This window comes from Homo sapiens, chromosome 8 (assembly GCF_000001405.40).
Source record: "Homo sapiens chromosome 8, GRCh38.p14 Primary Assembly".
NCBI lineage: Eukaryota > Metazoa > Chordata > Mammalia > Primates > Hominidae > Homo > Homo sapiens.
The window spans coordinates 3203915-3224550 of record NC_000008.11 but is presented as its reverse complement, the minus strand read 5'-3'; the positions used below and the strand labels follow the sequence as shown (position 1 = coordinate 3224550).

Below are 20636 nucleotides of genomic sequence, written 5' to 3'. Positions count from 1 at the left end.
TAGAGCTCACTTAAACTTTTGGGGTTTGTTTTGCCACTTTGAAATATGGGGAAAGTAATTCAAGCCTTCCATACACCAGGGGACTGGGAGAATGTGAAATGCCATGTTTTCATGTACCCAATAACCATTTCCTGAACACTTGTTCAGATCCAGAAACCGCCTAGACGTTTGGGATAAAACAATGAACAGGAGCTAGATGATCCCTGTACCACATGAAGCATGCACTCAAGAAGAAATAGGCAATGATTTTATAAACTGTGAGAAATAGCAAAATAATTAACATGGCCATAAAATCATGTCCATGGGATTTTTTTTATTCAAGTGTTTTTCTGTTTGTGCACATGTGTGCACGTTGGCAGGTATGGGGATTAAGTCATCTTTCATTTAATTGAGAAAATTTTAAATTATAGGAAAGAAATTTTTTGTGTCAGAAGTTTGAAAATTCTCTTTGAAAATGGGGTGGAATATTATGTAAAATTCATTAACAGTTACATGAAAAATGTACAGAGTTCCTGGGTCTTACAATTTTATCAGGATAATTGATAACCAACACACAATCTCTTGGACTGGTAAAAATGCTGATGTCTTTTTCTTAAAGAATTCTGTGGTGTCTCCTTCCACACTGACTGGCAGGCGTTCTTCGCTGTCCTTACTTTTTCTCTGTAACTTTTGTTCTGTGACAGCTGCTTGTGGAGGGAATCTGACGGGCCCAGCAGGTGTTATTTTGTCACCCAACTACCCACAGCCGTATCCTCCTGGGAAGGAATGTGACTGGAGAGTAAAAGTGAACCCGGACTTTGTCATCGCCTTGATATTCAAAAGGTACCGTCTCTTGCAGAATACCTCTTTTTAGTAGGATTTTTAATTCCATACCTAAAAATTACTTCTTTTATGACCTCATAGTCTCTAATGTTATATCTAGGTAAGTGCTAGATTTTGTGTCTAATGGAGACTACACCAGGCTGCAAAATGACATAAATGGAAATACAGTATTTTGCTTTGGGGCATTCTACTTAAGATGCACTTGAATTATTTTTAAATACTGTTTGTCTTGCACACAATGTGTCCCATATGAGAAGGCTTAAACAGAATGTTCGTTAAAAATAATAAAAATATGGTATGGAGACATTTGGTGTAATTTCTCATCAATGTCTCCTATCACTCTAAATGCCTGATAGTGAATTCCTTTCCACAGCACATCCTGACGTTCCTGAGGGTAGCACTGCTAATATCATTATAAAATTAAGACTTAATAGAGCCTGGAAAATGAAAGTTTCCCCAAATGTGGTTGCTGTAAAGTCTGAGTTACTACATATCAGTCCTAAAAATATGCTAACTTGTACTTGCTAAACTAGACGATGGAAGGTCTAATACTGTAGTCATTTTATGAAAATAAACTCTTTAAATAATTATATTATTAGTATATGGTATATGATAATTACAATTTATTGAATCCAAAGATGTTTTCTAACTTTAGACTTTGACTTTTGAACTAAATGAATGTGTTGTTTATGAAGGTGAGTCATTCTGTAGACTTTCCTATTGACCTTTCAGCTATCCAAGGACAAGTATCTGGGATTACATTTTTTAATCTGTCAATGGAACGACTTTCCTTTTCTGCAGATCTTTATGTCAGTATTCAAGGCCTGAATGTGTTTACATACCCTCACTTTCTCCTCCTGATGAGATCTGAGTCAGTAGAATTTTACGTTTCTATGATTCTGAATCTTAAGTTGGTTGATAGTCATCTTTTCCTGAATTTACTAAACTGCCACAAATTTACCAAATGTTACTCAGCTATTACAGAAAACCAGTGAACACTCACTGGCTATATTTTTTAGATATCTATGTGGGTTTTGTTAATGTTAAATTCTAGTAGCGTCTTCCTTAAAATTAGGAGGCACCTCTGGTTTCAAGATATTATAAATGGGTTAACAGTTGAAGCCAGGCATGGTGGTTCATGACTGTAATCCCAGCATTTCAGGAGGCCAAGATGGGGAGCACTTGAGTTCAGAAGTTTGAAACCAGCCTGGGCAACACAGCAAGACTCCATCACTACAAAAAATTTTAAAAATTGGCTTGGTGTGCTTGTGTATTCCTCTGGTTCTAGCTACTCGAGAGGCTGAGGCAGGAGGACTGTTGGAGCCCAGGAGGTGGAGGCTGCAATGAGCTATGAGTGTCTAGTCTGAGCTGAGCAACAGAGCAAGACCTTGGCTTTAAAAAAAAAAATGAAATTGAACACAAAACCTTGTTAGTAGGAGTTTCCTCCCTCCCATAAAGTGCAACTCATTTGATGATATGCATATTTAAGGCAGTTTTGTGCAAGGGTTTTTTCACTGCGTTTTATACACCCCTCTGGAAGTTTGAAACAGATAATCTCTAAGCCTCTCCCAACCCATAGATTATGACTTATTAGCCGACCCAATGTCTCAGAAACTTCAGAAATCAGTGAAAACCAGTGACTTCTCTGATCTGGAGTTTGCATGTGCTCAAGCAGACATCTACCTGGGAAGTAGTGAGGAGGGAGAGACCAGAATCCTGTTAGGGGATGAGGATGTCCAGCTTCCCAAGCAGGAGGCTGGCGCTGATGAGGGCTGGCCAAGATGCAGTGTCAGGATGATGGCAAATTCAGGTGTGTTTTTTTTATGGGAGGGTGGGAGTCTGGCATTACTAATGGTAAAGGCAAAGAATCATATGACCTGAAGGACATATGGGCTCCCAGGCTCGTTCAGGGCTGTGGATGAGAGAGGATGTTCCATTACACGTCCCTGTGGATTGTGGGGCTCACACATTGGGGCTCAAATTGAATTTGGTTCAATTTGAGTCAGGCTTTGGCATGCTGTAAGAGCTTAGAGATACGTGCAGCTGGCAGAGGTAGAAATAAGGAGTTCTCCAAAGGAGCCAAAATTAGTTATAAATTTCACTCCAGACTTCTACGCATGAATTTTGGTACAGGCAAAAAAAAAAGAGAGCAGATGGGATATATAGTGTTTGTTTGTTTGTTTGTTTGTTTGTTTGTTTTCCTGTGTCTGGCAGTATTTGCAGTATTGCATAAATTACCAATAATGATAATTAACTAAGCCAAATATTGGGGATATGACATGACCAGATTTTAATAACATCCTTGCCAATACTCTAAATACAATTATTATTCCAATAAAATTCTACGTAACCCACACCATTCCTGCTAGCGCCTATACCTAGTAACTCCAACCTTTTATTCCTTCTTCATTCCTGACGTCAGTGAACTTGTCAAATAAACAGACTAAGACACCTTCCTAAATTTCCTTTAATAAGTATATTCAGGATGTGGAGTGAGGGTATCCTTGACCCAAAACAGGTTGGCATAATGCAGGCTGGGCGTTGCACCGATGCTGGCGGTACCACGTTCTCTGTTCCCCTTCATGGTGCAGTGGACCTTTCCAGGAGGGAACTTCTGTTGCTATTTTATCATCCGAATCTCCAGATCAAGTGGAGCCACCTAGAACATTTTAGTGATTACAAAACAAACAAACAAACCAACAAGCAAAAACCCTGACCTTCTCTGTCTCAGTTGTCCCAAATTTCTGCAGTTGGAAAGGAAAGGGAGTAGGAGCTTTGTAAATTGAGTGCTTTTTAAAGACACATATGAAAAACCTGCTATAGAGAAGAAGAGGGAAGGGGCAGCTGCAATGGATGGATTGGTTGGTTGCTTGGTTGGTTGGTTGATTGGTTTTTGAGATGAGTTTTGCTCTGTCTGTCACCCAGGCTGGAGTGCAGTGGCGTGATCTTGACTCACTGCAACCTCCGCTTCCCGGGTTCAAGCGATTCTTCTGCCTCAGCCTCCCGAGCAGCTGGGACTACAGGTGCACGACACCATGCTCTGCTAATTTTTGTATTTTTAGTAGAGAGAGGGTTTCACCATATTGGCCAGGCTGTTCTCGAACTCCTGACCTCGTGATCTGCCTGCCTCAGCCTCCCAAAGTGCTGGGATTACAGGCTAGAGCCACTGTGCTCTGCTGCAATGGATGGTTTTAATACTTCTACTTTATCAGTTTATTCTGGTCATATCAAGATCTTAGACATCTTAACCAAGCTCAGCCTTTCTCTTAGAGTGTGCGTAGTTTTAAAGCTCAGAGACTCTATCAGCCTACACATCACCAATGGCAAACACAGCCCAGCCCTTGACACCTTTGAATTTAAATTGTTACACTCTTTGGGGACTGACTGTATGTTAATATTAGAGCAGAGAGAAACAGAAAAATGGAGAAAGTGAGAGAAAGAAAGAGAGGGACAGAGAAAAAAAACTGGGATATTCAGTGATGGTGAAACATGATGTGAGAAAGGTTACACTCTGGGCATTGTAGGGGCTATTAATATTCGCTGATTTATCCACGCAAGTGGAGTCTTTTTTTTTTTTTGACAGGGTCTTGTTCTGTCTCTCAGGGTGGAGTGCATGGGTGCAGTGGTGTGGTCATAGCTCATTGCAGCCTCAGACTCCTGGCCTCAAGTGATCATCCAGCCTTAGCTTCCTGAGTAGCTAGGACTACAAGTGTGCACCACCACACTCTACTAACTTTTGTATTTTTGTACAGACAGGATCTCATTATGTTACCTAGGCTGGGAGAACTGCATTTTTTAAGTAAAAATAAAAGTAAGAATAGTCAGTAATTCTACTGACTATTCCAATATTTTGAAATTGCAATATTTTCAAAATTCCAGTATTTTCAAAACTAAAAATATTCAGATAAAGATAAAAGGTCAGTGGAAATGTGTCTCTTTTGAGCTTGGTTCTTTTAAATTACATCTCATTTAGCAAATTAATGAGTACACGGAAAGGATAGCATACCTCTGCTATTATGACTTATTTCCTTTTGGCTGTGGTCAGAATAATATTGTATTGAACATGATGGTAATTAGGCAAATAGTATTTGTCACAATTGATGTATTTTATACTATTGCTATTTTATTAATATTTTGATTCATACTACATTTAACTTTTTGATTGCCCTAACTGAAAAATCATTATACAAAAGCAAATAAAATCACTTTCTGAGCTCAAAGGCTTACCACTCTGGGAGATAAAATATCTGTTAGCCGTATGACATAATTACTATTCTTTTCTTTAGTTTCAACATGGAGCCCAGCTATGACTTCCTACACATCTATGAAGGGGAAGATTCCAACAGCCCCCTCATTGGGAGTTACCAGGGCTCTCAGGCCCCAGAAAGAATAGAGAGTAGCGGAAACAGCCTGTTTCTGGCATTTCGGAGTGATGCCTCCGTGGGCCTTTCAGGGTTCGCCATTGAATTTAAAGGTATTGCGATTGCCTGAATTTGAGTGGGAATTAATTTGTATCAGGACTGTTTTTATTGTAGGCATTGCTTTGTAACATCTTGCTTGTCTGTTTAATACATAAATGCTGATATGTGTCTCCTCTGTCTGGGAAGATACATGTCTCCTCCCTCTCCAGTGAAGATATTCCTGAGGTGCATTTCTACTTTAACTGGAGGAAGAAAGAGAGGGGAAAAAAACTGTCCCAGTTCATGGCCATATAAAAATAAATTGTGGTTTGTAAAATAAAGAATTTGATGACATTTAATAATTATTTTAAGACGGGTTTTAACACCTTATAATTTGTTTCTTCAAGATGATTAAATGTAAGTACATGAAAATAACTTTTTTTTTTCTTTTTTCTTGAGACAGAGTTTTGCTCTTGTTGCCCAGGCTGGAGGGCAATGGCACGATGTCAGCTCGCTGCAACCTCCGCCTCCCGGGTTCAAATGATTCTCCTGTCTCAGCCCCCCGAGTAGCTGGAATTACAGGAGCATGCCACCATACACGGCTAATTTTTGTATTTTTAGTAGAGACTGGGTTTCATCATATTGGTCAGGCTGGTCTCGATCTCCTGACCTCAGGTGATCCACCTGCCTCGGCCTCCCAAAGTGCTGTGATTATAGACGTGAGTCACCGTGCCCAGCCAAAAATAATTTCTTTTTTTTTTTATTTTTGAGATGGAGTCTTGCTCTATCATGCAGGCTGGAGTGCTGCAGTGTGATCTCAGCTCACTGCAACCTCTGCCTCCAGGGTTCAAGCGATTCTCCTTCCTCAGCCTCCCGAGTAGCTGGGACTACAGGCAGCTGCCACCACGCCCGGCTGATTTTTTGTATTTTTAGTAGAGACGGGGTTTCACAGTGTTAGCCAGGATGATCTCGATCTCCTGACCTCATGATCCTCCCACCTCGGCCTCCCAAAGTGCTGCGATTACAGGCGTGAGCCACCGCGCCCGGCCAATAACTTCATTTTATCTCAACATTTTCCATGTCAACATATCTGTACCCTTCCCTGCCTCAGTCAGCTATGGCTGGTTTAGCAAGGTTTCTGACGCTGCTCAGAGCTCTTTTCTTTTATCATCAGATCAGTGATTTACCCTTGATTTGCTATAAACCATTCCCTGCCACTAACATCCAAGGAAAACAGACTGACCTGAAAAACCACCTTCAACTCAACATTTTGCTATTGGGTCCATCAGAATAAATATATGTTTTTTCAAATTTATTTCTCATGTGAACAAAATAAAATACAAGGTGTATTACAAAGAATTAGGGAAGAGGACTTAACAAAATATCAATTCACAGTTAGGAGGGTTTTCTTTAAAAAATGAAAATATTTATATTTATTTACACTTTTGAGTTCAATTTGTGTGAAAAATCTTTTTAAAAAGAACATATTTTATGTCTCTTACCTCATTACCAGAACTGTTTATATAGTTTTAAGTAGAAAATTGGTTTCTTTGCTCCCAAACATCAGAATCTGCACACTTAGGGGTATTTACTAAAATGTACAATTTTAAAAATTATACAATTTAGCAATCAGAGTATCCTATGCCTTTGAGATGGGATCCGTCACGTTTAGGAATAGTTGAAAACAGTACTTTTGAGCCTTTGCCACATCATAATTTAGTTTCTTAACAAGAATTCACTAAAATGCATTTTACCATGACAGTACTTATTCTATGATAGCCCCCCACGCCCCCAACAAAATCATGCAGGCAAGTAAACAAAACAATTCCTCATATAATTGTGAGAATGTACACTGATCATTGCCCACTCTGACAACTCCTGTTCTCCCCGGCATCCTAAGGCACATGAATAAATGGGCCAACGAATGAATGAAGTATGAAGGGCCTTACAGGTTGCATGAAGAAAGAACTTCCTTAATTTTTGTTTGGGTAACCGGTATGGCCATCTAACTGGAGGCTGTAGTTCCTGAGGTTTTAAAAGCTCTCCAGTGGAGTCTGTGAAAAATAAAAATCACAGGAAAGAGAATAGGAATGATGCCATTGCATGCAGCCTGGAGCAGTGATGCCATTGCATGCAGCCCACGACAGTGATGTCATTGCATGTAGCCTGGAAAAATGATGCCATTTCTTCCAGCCTGGAGCAGTGATGCCATTGCATCCAGCCTAGGGCAGTGATGCTATTGTATCCAGCCTGGAGCAGTGATGTCATTGCATGCAGCCTAGGGCAGTGATGTCATTGCATCTAGCCTGGAGAAATGATGCCATTGCATCCAGCCTCAAGCAGTGATGCCATTGCATCCAGCCTAGGGCAGTGATTGCATCTAAGCCTGGTGCAGTGATGTCATTGTATTGCATGCAGCCCAGAGCAAGTGCTGGTGTGGATAGCAAAGCAGGTGACAGATCCAGTTCTTAGGCATGATGGGAAATAGAAGGAACACCAGGCAGTCGTGCTGTGCAACAATTCACAAATCCTGGCTGAGGCAATCCACCTGGCCTCTGATGCAGGAAAGCTCAAAGGTATGCATAAGTGGAACGGACACGGACAACACAAAATACACCCTGTTATGAAGTCATCTAGTTAGAAGCCTGGCAAATTGTAAGCAAAAAATGTGCCAGTGATTTATCACGGAACATCCTGAAGTGACAAGTCAGTAATGGAACTAAAAGATTAGATGCAGTCCATTGGGAAAAAATCCTGCCATCAGAAATCAAAATTAGTGGCATAAAGAAGAAAGTTGTGTAGGTGATATTTAATCAAACAGGAAACTAGACTAAAAGAGATTTATAACAAAAAAATGATCAAAAAGGACACAAGAGCAACAGACATACATTAATAGATGTGTACTGGGAAATTTTTTATTTTCAATAGGGGAAAATATTGTGAACAAGTCCATGCTTCTATTCACTAGATCCTCAGTACATTGTGTTGAATGATTAAATAAAATATCAGAAAAACTGAGCAACTTTCATAGTACTTACAGGTTTACTTATTTGATCTGTATTTGCTTAAAATAATGTTCTATATTCTATATGGGATTTAATGCAGTTACAAAGAATTATCAACATGTCAGCTACCATTTTAAACATCCAAACAGCTTTTCAACAAAGCAATTAGAGAGCACTGGTTTGAAGGCACAAAACAAGAAATGTATATAAAATATATATGTATCATTTAATCTCAAATTCTTAAATGAGAAAACTTATATATATAATATATATTAATATAGATTTAATCAAAGTATGTAAATTATATAGGAAATATAGTTTATTAAATATAATACATTATTATAATAGATTCTTTATATAATGTATACGATGATTAAGTCAATGATCACCAAAGACATCTCTGTTTGGTTGATGATTACACATGGATTATTAAAAATATAATTGAAAATATTGAATAAATACAGTTAATCAGGTCTCTTTTTCTTCCTCCAGAGCTTCCCAAAGTTTAGCATTTTTGTTTTTGCTTTTTCCTCTCCCATTATATTTATCTATTTCTAGCAGGGTGGTAGACTGCAGGGTTATACACTTTTTCATTTAGAGATATTTTAGATGGTCTATTGAAACAGAAAATTAAAAATATTAAGGCTACCAGAAGATAACTGAAATTGACTGCAGAACAACATGACTGAAGAAAAAAGGTTTTGTATTTTTACTTGGGAAGAAGAAATACTTAATGCAGCCAAAAGTGAATGCCTAATTGAGGGGCCCCAGAAGTGGGCAGGTCTCTGCAGGGGGTCTTTGTGGAAGTGACTTAACTTTCCTTGAGTTTTACATTCTTATGATCCTTTCCTGGCAGAGGTGTCCTGGAGATTAGAATTAAACAAGAAATGCACCTAGTTCCATGTCTGGTACATAATGAGCCCTCAATAAATTTCAGCAATTATTTTAACTAAGGTAGAACTATTGGCTGTTAGTACATCCAGTGCACAATGTTTGACCATCATCTATCAGTCAATGTATTTTTTTCTTCTAAGTTTGACGTTTACTCTATTAAGACTAACAACAGAAATACGGTAGTAAAAGAATGAGAACAAGCATCCATCTTCATCTTCTAAGTCTGTCTGTTGTTATTCGTATAAGAAAGTGCTCTTAACTTTCAGGAATTAAACTGTTTCATTTTGAGAAGCCAAATTCTCCAGTCTTTTCTGAAAGGTGTGGAATGATTTTATGTTAATATGTTTGATGTACAAAAGTTAGAAAATGAACCTCAATTTTTCCAGAGTCAATTTTTCTTTGATTCAGTCCTAAAATCTGTAGCCAAAAATGGATAAATATATAAAAACGTAGTACTGTATTTTTTATGTAGATGAAGGTAATTTTATATCAATTCTGTAGCAAAATGTGGTTTTTAAAATGGAAATATAATTTTATTAAAAAGGAATTTTCTTATTTTAATTAATAGTTTCACTTGGTCAATAGCCAATCAATAAATATTCTTTGAGCATTTCTTACTTATTTAGGACATTGTTCTAGGCCCTAAATAACACAATTAAAGAACCAACCCAACAAACAAAAACACAAACAAGAATAAGATCCCTGCTCTCATGCAGTTTACATTCATTTCTTCCACAGAGAAACCACGGGAAGCTTGTTTTGACCCAGGAAATATAATGAATGGGACAAGAGTTGGAACAGACTTCAAGCTTGGCTCCACCATCACCTACCAGTGTGACTCTGGCTATAAGATTCTTGACCCCTCATCCATCACCTGTGTGATTGGGGCTGATGGGAAACCCTCCTGGGACCAAGTGCTGCCCTCCTGCAATGGTGAGTGCACGCTTGGGTATTTTCTAGAAATACAACTTTCCTTTAAAATGCAGCATCTCATTGAAGAAATGGTTTCACATTTCAACACGTATTCCTCTCATCGGTGGTGAGGATTGCTTAGAGAGCTAGTGTGGAACGAATATCAGTCATTCATTGATCATTTAATGCAGCTAGTGTGTTAGCCATTCTCATAGGTTTCTGGGAGGAGCAATATTTTTCCTTCGCTCGTACAGTTTTACATTTTTCACTTCTGTTTTTGTGTGTTCTAGATCTGTTCTTTATAAGAGGTGCTAATTAGCCTTCTCTAGTTACTTCTCTCTCTCTCTCTCTCCATATATAAAATACTTACTTCTAGCCGGGCGTGGTAGCTCATGCCTGTAATCCCAGCACTTCAAGAGGCTGAGGCGAGTGGATCGCGAGGTTAGGAGTTCGAGACCAGCCTGGCCAAGATGGTGAAACCCTGTCTCCGCTAAAAATACAAAAATTAACTGGGTGTGGTGGTGCGTGCCTGTGATCCCAGCTACTCAGTAGGGTGAGGCAGGAGAATCGCTTGAACCTGGGCAGTGAGCTGAGATTGTGCCACTGCACTCCAGCCTGGGTGACAGAGCAAGACTCCATCTCATATATATATATATATATGTGTATGTATATACACACACACACATACACAGACACACATATATATATATGAGATGGAGTCTCATACATATATATACATACACACACACATATATATACATACACACACATATATTTTTACATATATACATATATATTTTAATGTACATATATTTTTATATATATACATACACACACACATATATATTTACACCTATTTATCTGTATATATATAGAGAGAAAAAACTAATATGTATATATTTAAATGGATATGTCATTTCCCCCCAAAACAGCAATAGTTTGTAATTCCTTAGGAATGAAATTAGTAAAATCGTTGAATCAGCTTTCAAGGACAGACAAAACTAACCTACAGTGATGAAGTCAGACAGCAGCTGCCCTGTGGGTGTGAACTGGGAAGAGTGGGAGGGTAGACTTCCTGGCTGCTGGCCAGGGTGCATATCTTCACCTAGGTGGTGGTTTCATGGGGGTCTCTATAGGCAAACACTCCTCAGGCTGTGGACCCTTGACTTGTACCTTTTACATTTTCATGGTATATATTTAAAAAAGAAGAAGAATGAGGTAGAACTTCATGGCTTGTTGCAGAGACATTCATTTCTAGGGTTATTTTAAGATGAGCTCAAAGACCAGTTTCGTTTGATAAATTATGAAACAAATGTGTTTTTCTTAAGACAGCCTAACAATGCTACTGGCAGCTTCAGGCCAAATAAACATTTTAAATATTACTGTATAAGAGACTGGGCGCGTGGCTCACACCTGTAATCCCAGCAATTTGGGAGGCTGACGTGGGTGGATCACCTGAGGTCAGGAGTTCGAGACCATGGCTAACATGGAGAAACCCCCTTTCTACTAAAAATACAAAAAATTAGCTGGGCGTGGTGGTGCACACCTGTAATCCCAGCTACTTGGGAGGCTGAGGCAGGAGAATCGCTTGAACCCGGGAGGCAGAGGTTGTGGAAGCTGAGATTGTGCCATTACACTCCAGCTTGGGCAACAAGAGTGAAACTCTCTCTCAAAAAAAAAAAAAAAGTATATAAGAAACTAAAATCAAACAAGCAAAACAAAATAAAACAAAACCTACTTCCCTGGCGTGTTCTGCTATTTCTATGTTTCTAAGTCCATTCTCTTATGATCCTGAAACCTTTTAAGTTAAAGAAGTGTAGCTGTCTGGACCCAGCAGTAGAGACTGGCACAGAGTAAGAACTTAGGCCAGGTGTAGTGGCTCACACCTGTAATCCCAACACTATGGGAGGCCAAGGCTAGTGGATCCCTTGAGCTCAGGAGTTTGAGACCAGCCTGAGCAACATGACAAAACCCCATCTCTACCAAAAACACAATACAAAACTTAGCTGGATGTGGTGGCTCATGCCTGTAGTCCCAGCTGCTTGGGAGGATGAGGTAGGAGGATCGCTGGAGCCTGGTAGGTGAAGGTTTCAGTGAGCCGAGATTGCTCCACTGCACTATAGCCTGGGCAACAGATCGACAGAGGAAGAACGTTATTTTTTGTGTTTTAAAATCGTGATCATAGGCCAGGTTATGCATCAGTCCTTTCTAGTCATGTTTAATTAAAAATTCTGATAGTGTAGTCATTGTGTTACTTGCTTTGGGAGACTTTTGTGAATGGGAAGTTATAGAGTGTTTCTTTTTTAAGTTTATTAAAAACTAAAATAAGAAGCATATGGGAGCTTCAAATAGAACTCAGCGTGCTCATGGGTGAGGGAGGCAGTGAGCCAGAGTGGCTTTGAGGTAAAGAGAGCCTTTGATCTAGCATTACAGGTCAAGACCAAGGTCTCCCTGGTGCCTGCACAGCCCCCAAAACAGGACGGAGACAAACGAAGAAGTGGGTGTCACTTGGTGAGGTGGGCACGAGGCAGCTGGAAGTCTCTGCCCAGCACCCACCCTTCCCTGTCCTGGCCCAGGGTGGGCCACACCTCCACCCCCTCTTGTCTTGCCACCAGCCTGGGTGCCCCTCATATCCTGAGCGGCCTGGGCAGTGCATGCCAGTGGTTCTGGGTGCTTGCCCTGTGCTCTTGAGGTTGGCCAGGAGCTGCCTGTGAGCTGCTGTCCAAGGTCTTGAGGATCCTCCCTTCTGGACGAGGCATGGCCAGTGCGGGCAGGGCCGGGCTTGTGAGCCAACGGCAGCACTGAAAGGTGCGCCCTGCAGAGTGACCAGATCTCGCCTCACCTCCTCCCGTCTGTGTCACTCCAGACAAGACTCGCAGGGCTGAGAGCGATGACAGTCTCTAGGTCACAAGTGTTAGGAGGATAAATTCCACAGGCATAAGGCTCCCCAAAACTAGTAAATCTTAATTCTGTATGTAACTGGTTTCCAAAACCATTTTGATGTAACAAAGGGCAATGACCTCAAACCCTTTTGATCTGACATCCAATCAATATAACTATTGAGCATGCAACCTCGATCTCTGCCACGCATTACAGGTACTGACCATCTCAGCAGCTGTTATAGACCACACAATTACTACATGAACACAGACATTTACAAAGATGGAATTTTAGACCAGACAAAGCTGCTCATGCCTGTAATCTCAGCACTTTGAGAGACTAAGGCAGGAGGATCGCTTGAGGACCAGAATTCAAGACTAGTCTGGACAACATAGCAAGACCCCACCTCTACAAAAAAAATTAAAATTAGCTGTGTGGGGTGGTGCACACCTGGGGTCCCAGCTACTCGGGAGGCTGTAGTGGGAGTATCACTTGAGCTCTGAAGGTTGAGGCTGCAGTGAGCCGTGACTGGATCACTGCACTCCAGCCTGGGCAACAGGGCAATACCTTATCTCAAGAAAACAAAAGATGTAATTTTGGGTAAAAATTCTAATTTTCTTTCTTGTATCCCAGAAAATGATTTTTGCATCCCCTGGTGTATTTTTCCCCCACTTCAGATATCTTTAGCAATTATATAGAGTCTAGTGTGAGGGAGATAAAAGTAGGTAGCAAAATTGAGGAAAGGTCATGAATTCTGTACTTTTGTTAACTAATAATACAAAAGGCATTTAATTTATATTAAATTCAATTACAGTTGAATTTGTGGGGAGTGATAAAACTTTAGCCATAGAAAAAGCATGGGTAAAGTATTAGCCATAGGAAAAATACCTTTTCTGTGGCTAAAGAAAAAGTATATATGTATACACTTTATATATATATAGTGTATATACATATATAGGTGTGTATATATATGTATAATTATATATAAAGTGTATATACACTTTATATATATATTCCTGTCTATATATTTATACACACACCTATATATTAATTTATACACATATGTATAGGAATTATACATATATACACACGTATATATGTATATATATTCACATATATTCCTATATATAGGATATATACATATATACATATTCCTATATATGTATATTCCTATATATATATAGGTCATATATATGTATATTCCTATATATATATAGGTCATATATATAAAACCAAATTTTTAATTAGAGACTGTTTCAGTTTCCATGTCTGAAGATCTGTGGAGTGAGGCACAATTTATTTTACTAGTCATCAAAGAGCACAGCGCATGAAACACTGATTTCCCCAAATGGAGGATTCCATTTACATGCAAATAAAGCTTTATGTTATAAATCTGGAAAGCAGAGATGGTCTCTCCTGTAGTGCATCTTGGATCCCTCATGGAGAGCAGCACATTTGTGCATGAACCAGCGCCTGTGATTTATTCAGATCAACAGTTAACCTCGGGGCCTTTTGCTCCACTGTAAATCTTTTGATAGTTCCTGCATCATGGGATGCAGTTGGTGCATTTTGGGGCAGTTTGTTTTAGATGCGTGGGGTAATGTTTTTCCTGGTTATTCGTCTATTACCTACAAATTTTGCTTATTGAAGTTTTTTGTAGAATTGTAACTGAAATTGAAGCAAAGTTGAGCCCCTTTCATGGGTCACAATGACTTCTGTTTGCTAGTTTTGTTTACTCAATTTGGTTCTATGTGGTTGCTTTTATGTACGAGATGTATATATTCTAATTAGCCAAATGGATAAGCAAGCTTCTTGTTACCATTAGCAATGAATGCTTTTGTATGTCTTTATTCATTTAGGAAATAATCTGTTTAATATGTTAATTACCAAATAACAAACATTTATTTATTTTTCTTTTGTTGTTGCATTAAAATAAAATAACTTCTAAGGTGAGAAGCACCAGGCCTGTTTCTTAGATTAGCACAGTAATGCAGACATAACAATTATTAAGAATTAAATAGCCGAGTGCAGTGGCTCACACCTGTAATTCCAGCACTTTGGGAGGCCGAGGCAGGCGGATCACAAGGTCAGGAGATCAATAACATCCTGGCTAACATGGTGAAACCCCGTTTCCACTAAAAAATTACAAAAAAATTAGCCGGGCATGGTGGCAGGTGCCTGTAGTCCCAGCTACTCGGGAGGCTGAGGCAGGAGAATGGCATGAACCCGGGAGATGGAACTTGCAGTGAGCCGAGATCACGCCACTGTACTCCAGCCTGGGCCACAGAGCAAGACTCTGTCTCAAAAATAAATAAATATAAATAAATAAATAAATAAATAAATAAACAAACAAACAAATAAATAAAAATTCTATCCATATTTTTCTAACACAAATGTTGTTCATGTATGAAACGTATCATTGTAGTTCTGGTGCTTAGCATTTTGATCTGAGGAAGAACGGACAGGCACAAGCACTATTTATCAAGGTAGTAAAAGACAAAAGTTCTGAGTCAGTTTTCCTGAATTTCATCTTTGACTTTTCAAAAATGTCCTCTACTATCATAAGGCAATGCTCTTTTATTCTATGCTTGCACAAAGTGTTTCTTTGTAGTTATACTTTGAAACATGTATTAGAGTTCTCTAGAGGGACAGAACTAATGGAATAGTTACATATATAAAGGGGAGTTTATTAAGCATTAACTCACATGATCACAAATTCCCACAATATGCTGTCTGCAGGCTGAGGAACAAGAAGAGCCATTCCGAGTCCCAAAACTGAAGAACTTGGAGTTTGACGTTCAGGGGCAAGAAGCATCCAGCACAGGAGAAAGATGTAGGCTGGGAGACTAGGCCAGTCTCTCATTTCACATTTTTCTGCCTGCTTATATTCTAGCCATGCTGCAGTTTATTAGATGGTGCCCACCCAAATTAAGGGTGGGTCTGCCTTCCCCAGCCCACTGACTCAAATATTAATCTCCTTGGGCAACACCCTCACAGACATACCCAGGATCAATACTTTCTATCCTTCAATCCAATCAAGATGACATTCAGTATTAACAATCACAAAACATATGGCCGGGCGTGGTGGCTCAGCCCTGTAATCCCAGCACCTTGGGAGGCCGAGGTAGGTGGATCACGAGGTCAACAGATCCAGACCATCCTAGCCAACATGGTGAAATCCCATCTCTACTAAAAATACAAAAATTAGCTGTGTGTGGTGGTGTGCACCTGTAGTCCCTGCTGCTCGGGAGGTTGAGGCAGGAGAATCACTTGAACCTGGGGGGCAGAGGTTGCAGTGAGCTGACATCACACCACTGCACTCCAGCCTGGTGACAGAGCGATCAGAAGATGTTCTTGAAAAGAATTACTTTACCATCGCTAATAATTTGGGAATCAAAATTTTGGCCCAGTGATGACGTTTCCACTTTTTATTTATACTTCTTGTCTAAAATTTAAAACTAATTGTTTTATGGAAAAAGATCATTTGCAAAATGATATGTTTGAATTGTATGTGACTGAGCGCAAATAAAATATATTTTCAATCTTTATTTGTGCTAAGTTTTTTAAAAACTTGAACTTGAAGCTTTTGAGGAAAAGGAAAGATAGGTCTGACATAACCTGGTTGACTTCACATGGTTAAGGTGGAGAGAAATATCTGAGGGATATATCTGCGTTGGTAGAGTGAGTGATGCCAGCATTCTATTGGAAACCTTCAGTTTTGAAGTTGAGCTTATAGAAATATCCTCCATCTAAAAGTGAAAATAAAATGTTTCTATTTAAAATCATAAAAACCTAAATAGAAGTGTTTTAGAGAAGTGTTTTAGAGTGATAACATGATTTTGAATTAAGACACTAGCATGAAGGCTGAGCTTATTTAAGTAAAATCTCTGCTTAAATTTCTGTCAGCTTTGATGAACAGATCAAAGCTGACAGATGTCTGAGCTGTTTTCCTTTGACTTTTAGAATACAACTTAAGTTTTTCAAGCGATTGTAATGCAGGGATTCAGGAAATTTCTTGACTAATCATTAACAAGTTGCCTTATCCTTAGCATTACCATATTCTAAGGAGCTTAATTCATCATGGAAAATGTTCTGTCCATCAATTAATATTTAACATAATGCTAATTAACATTCAAAGAATTAAACATGTTATCTCTAACTTCTTTATTCTTTGAGGCTTGAAAATTGCCATTGTGGCCGGACTCAGTGGCTCACGTTTGTAATCCCAGCACTTTGGGAGGCTGAGCCATGCGGATCATGAGGTCAGGAGTTCGAGACCAGCCTGACCAACATCATATCTATTAAAGATGAAAAAAAAAAAAATCAGCCAGGTGTGTTGGCGGGCGCCGAGTAATTGCAGCTACTCGGGAGGCTGAGGCAAGAGAATCGTTTGAACCCGGGTGGCGGAGGTTGCAGTGAGCTGAGATCATGCCATTGTACTCCAGCCTGGGTGACAGGGCAAGACACCATCTCAAAAAAAAAAAAAGAAAATGAAAAAAAAAAAAGAAAATGGCCATATCAAGAAGAAATGAGCTGTAGAAATATAATCTTTCTGAAATACTGAAGCTAATTCTGAATTCAAATCAGTGGCGGTATATCCAAGATAGGAAGTGCAGTCAGGCCACAGCCAGCATGGTAAGGGTGCAACAGGCTGTCCTGAGTGGCTCCCACGCTGGTCATTGCCCTATGTTAAACAGATGAGGGGAGCTGACTTGGCCCCTTCTCATGTAGAAATATAATGAAATAGAGTACTGGCAATCTAAAGACTGGATATCAAATGGCTGGGATTTAATTGGAGGTCTCTTCCATGATGCTTTAAAAAGTGCATTGAACATCTGTGTACAGTGTTTTTCATTTTCTCAGCAAAAGTGAAGCCAAAGTAAATAAGATAACTGGGGGAAAATTAAGACATACCCACACATTCACACAGACATAACCCCCCACACACACATATACACACACACACAGACATACCCCCACACACATACACCCACACACACACAGACATAACCCCACACACACATACACACACATACAGACATACGCCCCCCACACATACACACACACACACATACACACACAGACATAACCTCCCACACACACATACATACACACGCAGACATACACCACACACACATACACCCACACACACATACACGCACAGACATAACCCCCCCACACACACATACACACACACATACACCCACACACACACATACACACACAGACATAACCCCCCACACACACATACACACACACAGACATACCCCCAATACACACATACACACACACCCCAAACACACATACACACATACCACACACACAGATACACACACACCCCACACACACACATACACACAGAGACATACCCCCCCACACATACATACCCCCCACACACATACACACACACACAGACACACACACCTCTCTATATTTTGTAAGCCCTAACTTTCTAATGATGGATTCTTTTAGTTTTAAATTGAACTCATAGGAAGAGACCCCAAAAGCATTAGTAATTATGCATGTTGCTTTTACTGAAACTATAAGATGAAACGTTAAAACAAAGAAAATCCCCTAAAAAACAAAACATTTTTCCTTTGATTCCCATATTAATATAAAAGTGATAGAAAACTGAAATAATCTTTGTATCTCTTAAGTTAATATGAGGATTGACTTCGAACAGACAACTCCGCGAGACTTTCTAAAATAATTTAATCATTTGTCTTTATAGAACCTATTTTATTATTATTATAGATGTTTCCCTTATTATTTTAATACATCTGAGACAAATGTCTTGAAAATAATATTAGGTTTTTCTCCTAAGTTGGATTACTTCTTCCCTGGTAAATCTTTGTCTTTCTATGACTTTGATAGCAATGCAAAACAAGATTTTAACTTCTTATTTTGTCAAGTTTTCAATAAACGTGCTCACGTGTTTGATGTGTTTCAGCTTTGGCTCACCTATCACCTGCGCTATTATTGCACAGCGACTAATTCTCGGTTGATTTTATTTTCAGCTCCCTGTGGAGGCCAGTACACGGGATCAGAAGGGGTAGTTTTATCACCAAACTACCCCCATAATTACACAGCTGGTCAAATATGCCTCTATTCCATCACGGTACCAAAGGAATTCGGTAAGGATGTCCTTGTATTTTTAATTCATTGTCATATTTCCTTTCAGTGTTAATTTTTCTGTCATTTGATAAACAAGTATGCTAGAGCTTAGTGAAATATTTCATATAAAAGCAAATGAGTTGCATTTAAGTAGCAGGCCTTCCAAACATATCCTGCACAATGTCCATTACAGTCCTTTTACCAATGTGATATTAATGCTCACAGTCCCCTCTAGGGTTATGATCCGAAATAATCAGAGAGAATTAATTTGGCTTTCTTCTTAGGTTTCCCAAACATAGTTCTTTCAGTTGGTTGTTTTTATGAGCAACGGAGGATTTCTCATAAAGTAGTGGGTGGGTCAGAACTCTGTGTATATGTCTGTGCATGAATGGCACATACATTCAGTGAACTCAGTAACCAGATCATGATCGAAATCACTGCATCCTTGAGTCAACCTGTAAGTGCTGAGGGACGGAGAAGCAGGCAGAGTCTTGACTGTTTCACCTGCTGAACCCTGACTTCCTGTTTCCCTCCTAAACATTGCTTCCAATTCCAGCTAATTTTCCAAAATGACTTCATTTCCAGAAGGGCCTTCCCTGGTCGCTCTGCACTTCATTTATGCAATGCTCACTCTCACTCTTGACCAGGACAATTTATCTTGGATCAGATTCTTTTCTGGAGTAAACCAGATAGTAGCTGTCATCATCTTAAAGACTATGTCCCTCTTTCCAATAGGAAAATTGAAAACGCTACATAGTCAAGGTTTTTATTTATGTCTGAGACAGCACTCACTCTGCATATAAAGCAGGTAAAAATTCTAATGTTAGACGTATTTGAGATAAAGCATTTTTAACATGTGACAAGAAAGATATTTGATGTGTAAGAAACTTGTGTGTGGGAGCCAGTGTTTTTGTAAACTTCTATTGTGTCATGATTCCCGGGCCTCTTACGAATGTAATGCACACCCTCCCCAAACCTTGCTGTTCCCTTTGTTATGATAAATGGGCAGTAATACTTAAAATGGGTTCTGGATTCCAAATTTTAAGTTGGACCAAATTCTTTAAAGTCCCTCATTTAACTTTAGCCTTAATTCTGAATTTGAATGAAATAATTTTTTTTTTTTTTACCTAAATGCTCAGCAGTATTCCCCTGATTATCACAAAAAAGTCTTCTGTTCATGGAAACATGACAAAATATATTTATTACAATGGAATTTAGCAGCCATATTCTATGATTTTAGTTAAATACAAAATATTATTGTCATCATTACACAATTAAAAATTTTCAGCTAAAGAAGTCATACTCATATCCTAAATATCGTTTATAATTTCCCAATTTGAAAAGTTTAATCACACAAACGATCACATCCTATCTGGCAGAAAGCTTCAGCGTGGAATAACGTAGTTACAGCGAATCTTTAATGAAAATGCATTCTGTCTCATCTTTTACTTTCTTCCCCCATTCGTTACTCTTTCCTGATAAATAAACTAATTAACTAAACAATTAATCTCACAGTATTTGTAAGTACAGGGATGCAAAGATGAAAGGAATCTGGTCCATGTCCCTGGCAGGCTTATGGTGAGGGGTGAGGCAGATGTGCAATCCAGAC

The 20636-nt window shown here is 39.2% G+C and overlaps 1 protein-coding gene across 5 annotated transcripts in view, besides 1 other annotated feature; it reads left to right on the top strand.

The window, feature by feature from the left end:
• The window catches only part of CSMD1 (CUB and Sushi multiple domains 1), a 2059554-nt gene that overhangs the window by 1770364 nt on the left and 268554 nt on the right, over positions 1–20636 (top strand). For all 5 annotated transcript variants that reach the window (XM_011534752.3, NM_033225.6, XM_011534753.4 and 2 more), the window contains 4 exons: positions 684–822; positions 5109–5296; positions 9860–10054; positions 18931–19047. In XM_011534752.3, coding sequence (XP_011533054.1) covers positions 684–822; positions 5109–5296; positions 9860–10054; positions 18931–19047 — 639 coding nt within the window. The remainder of the gene's footprint in view (positions 1–683; positions 823–5108; positions 5297–9859; positions 10055–18930; positions 19048–20636) is intronic.
• Positions 12736–13274: an enhancer, noted in NCBI's record as "H3K4me1 hESC enhancer chr8:3068799-3069337 (GRCh37/hg19 assembly coordinates)". NCBI's record gives its function as "activates a minimal SCP1, AML or CMV promoter by ChIP-STARR-seq in primed H9 embryonic stem cells {active_cell/tissue: H9 hESC(primed)}" and the evidence as "EXISTENCE:reporter gene assay evidence [ECO:0000049][PMID:30033119]".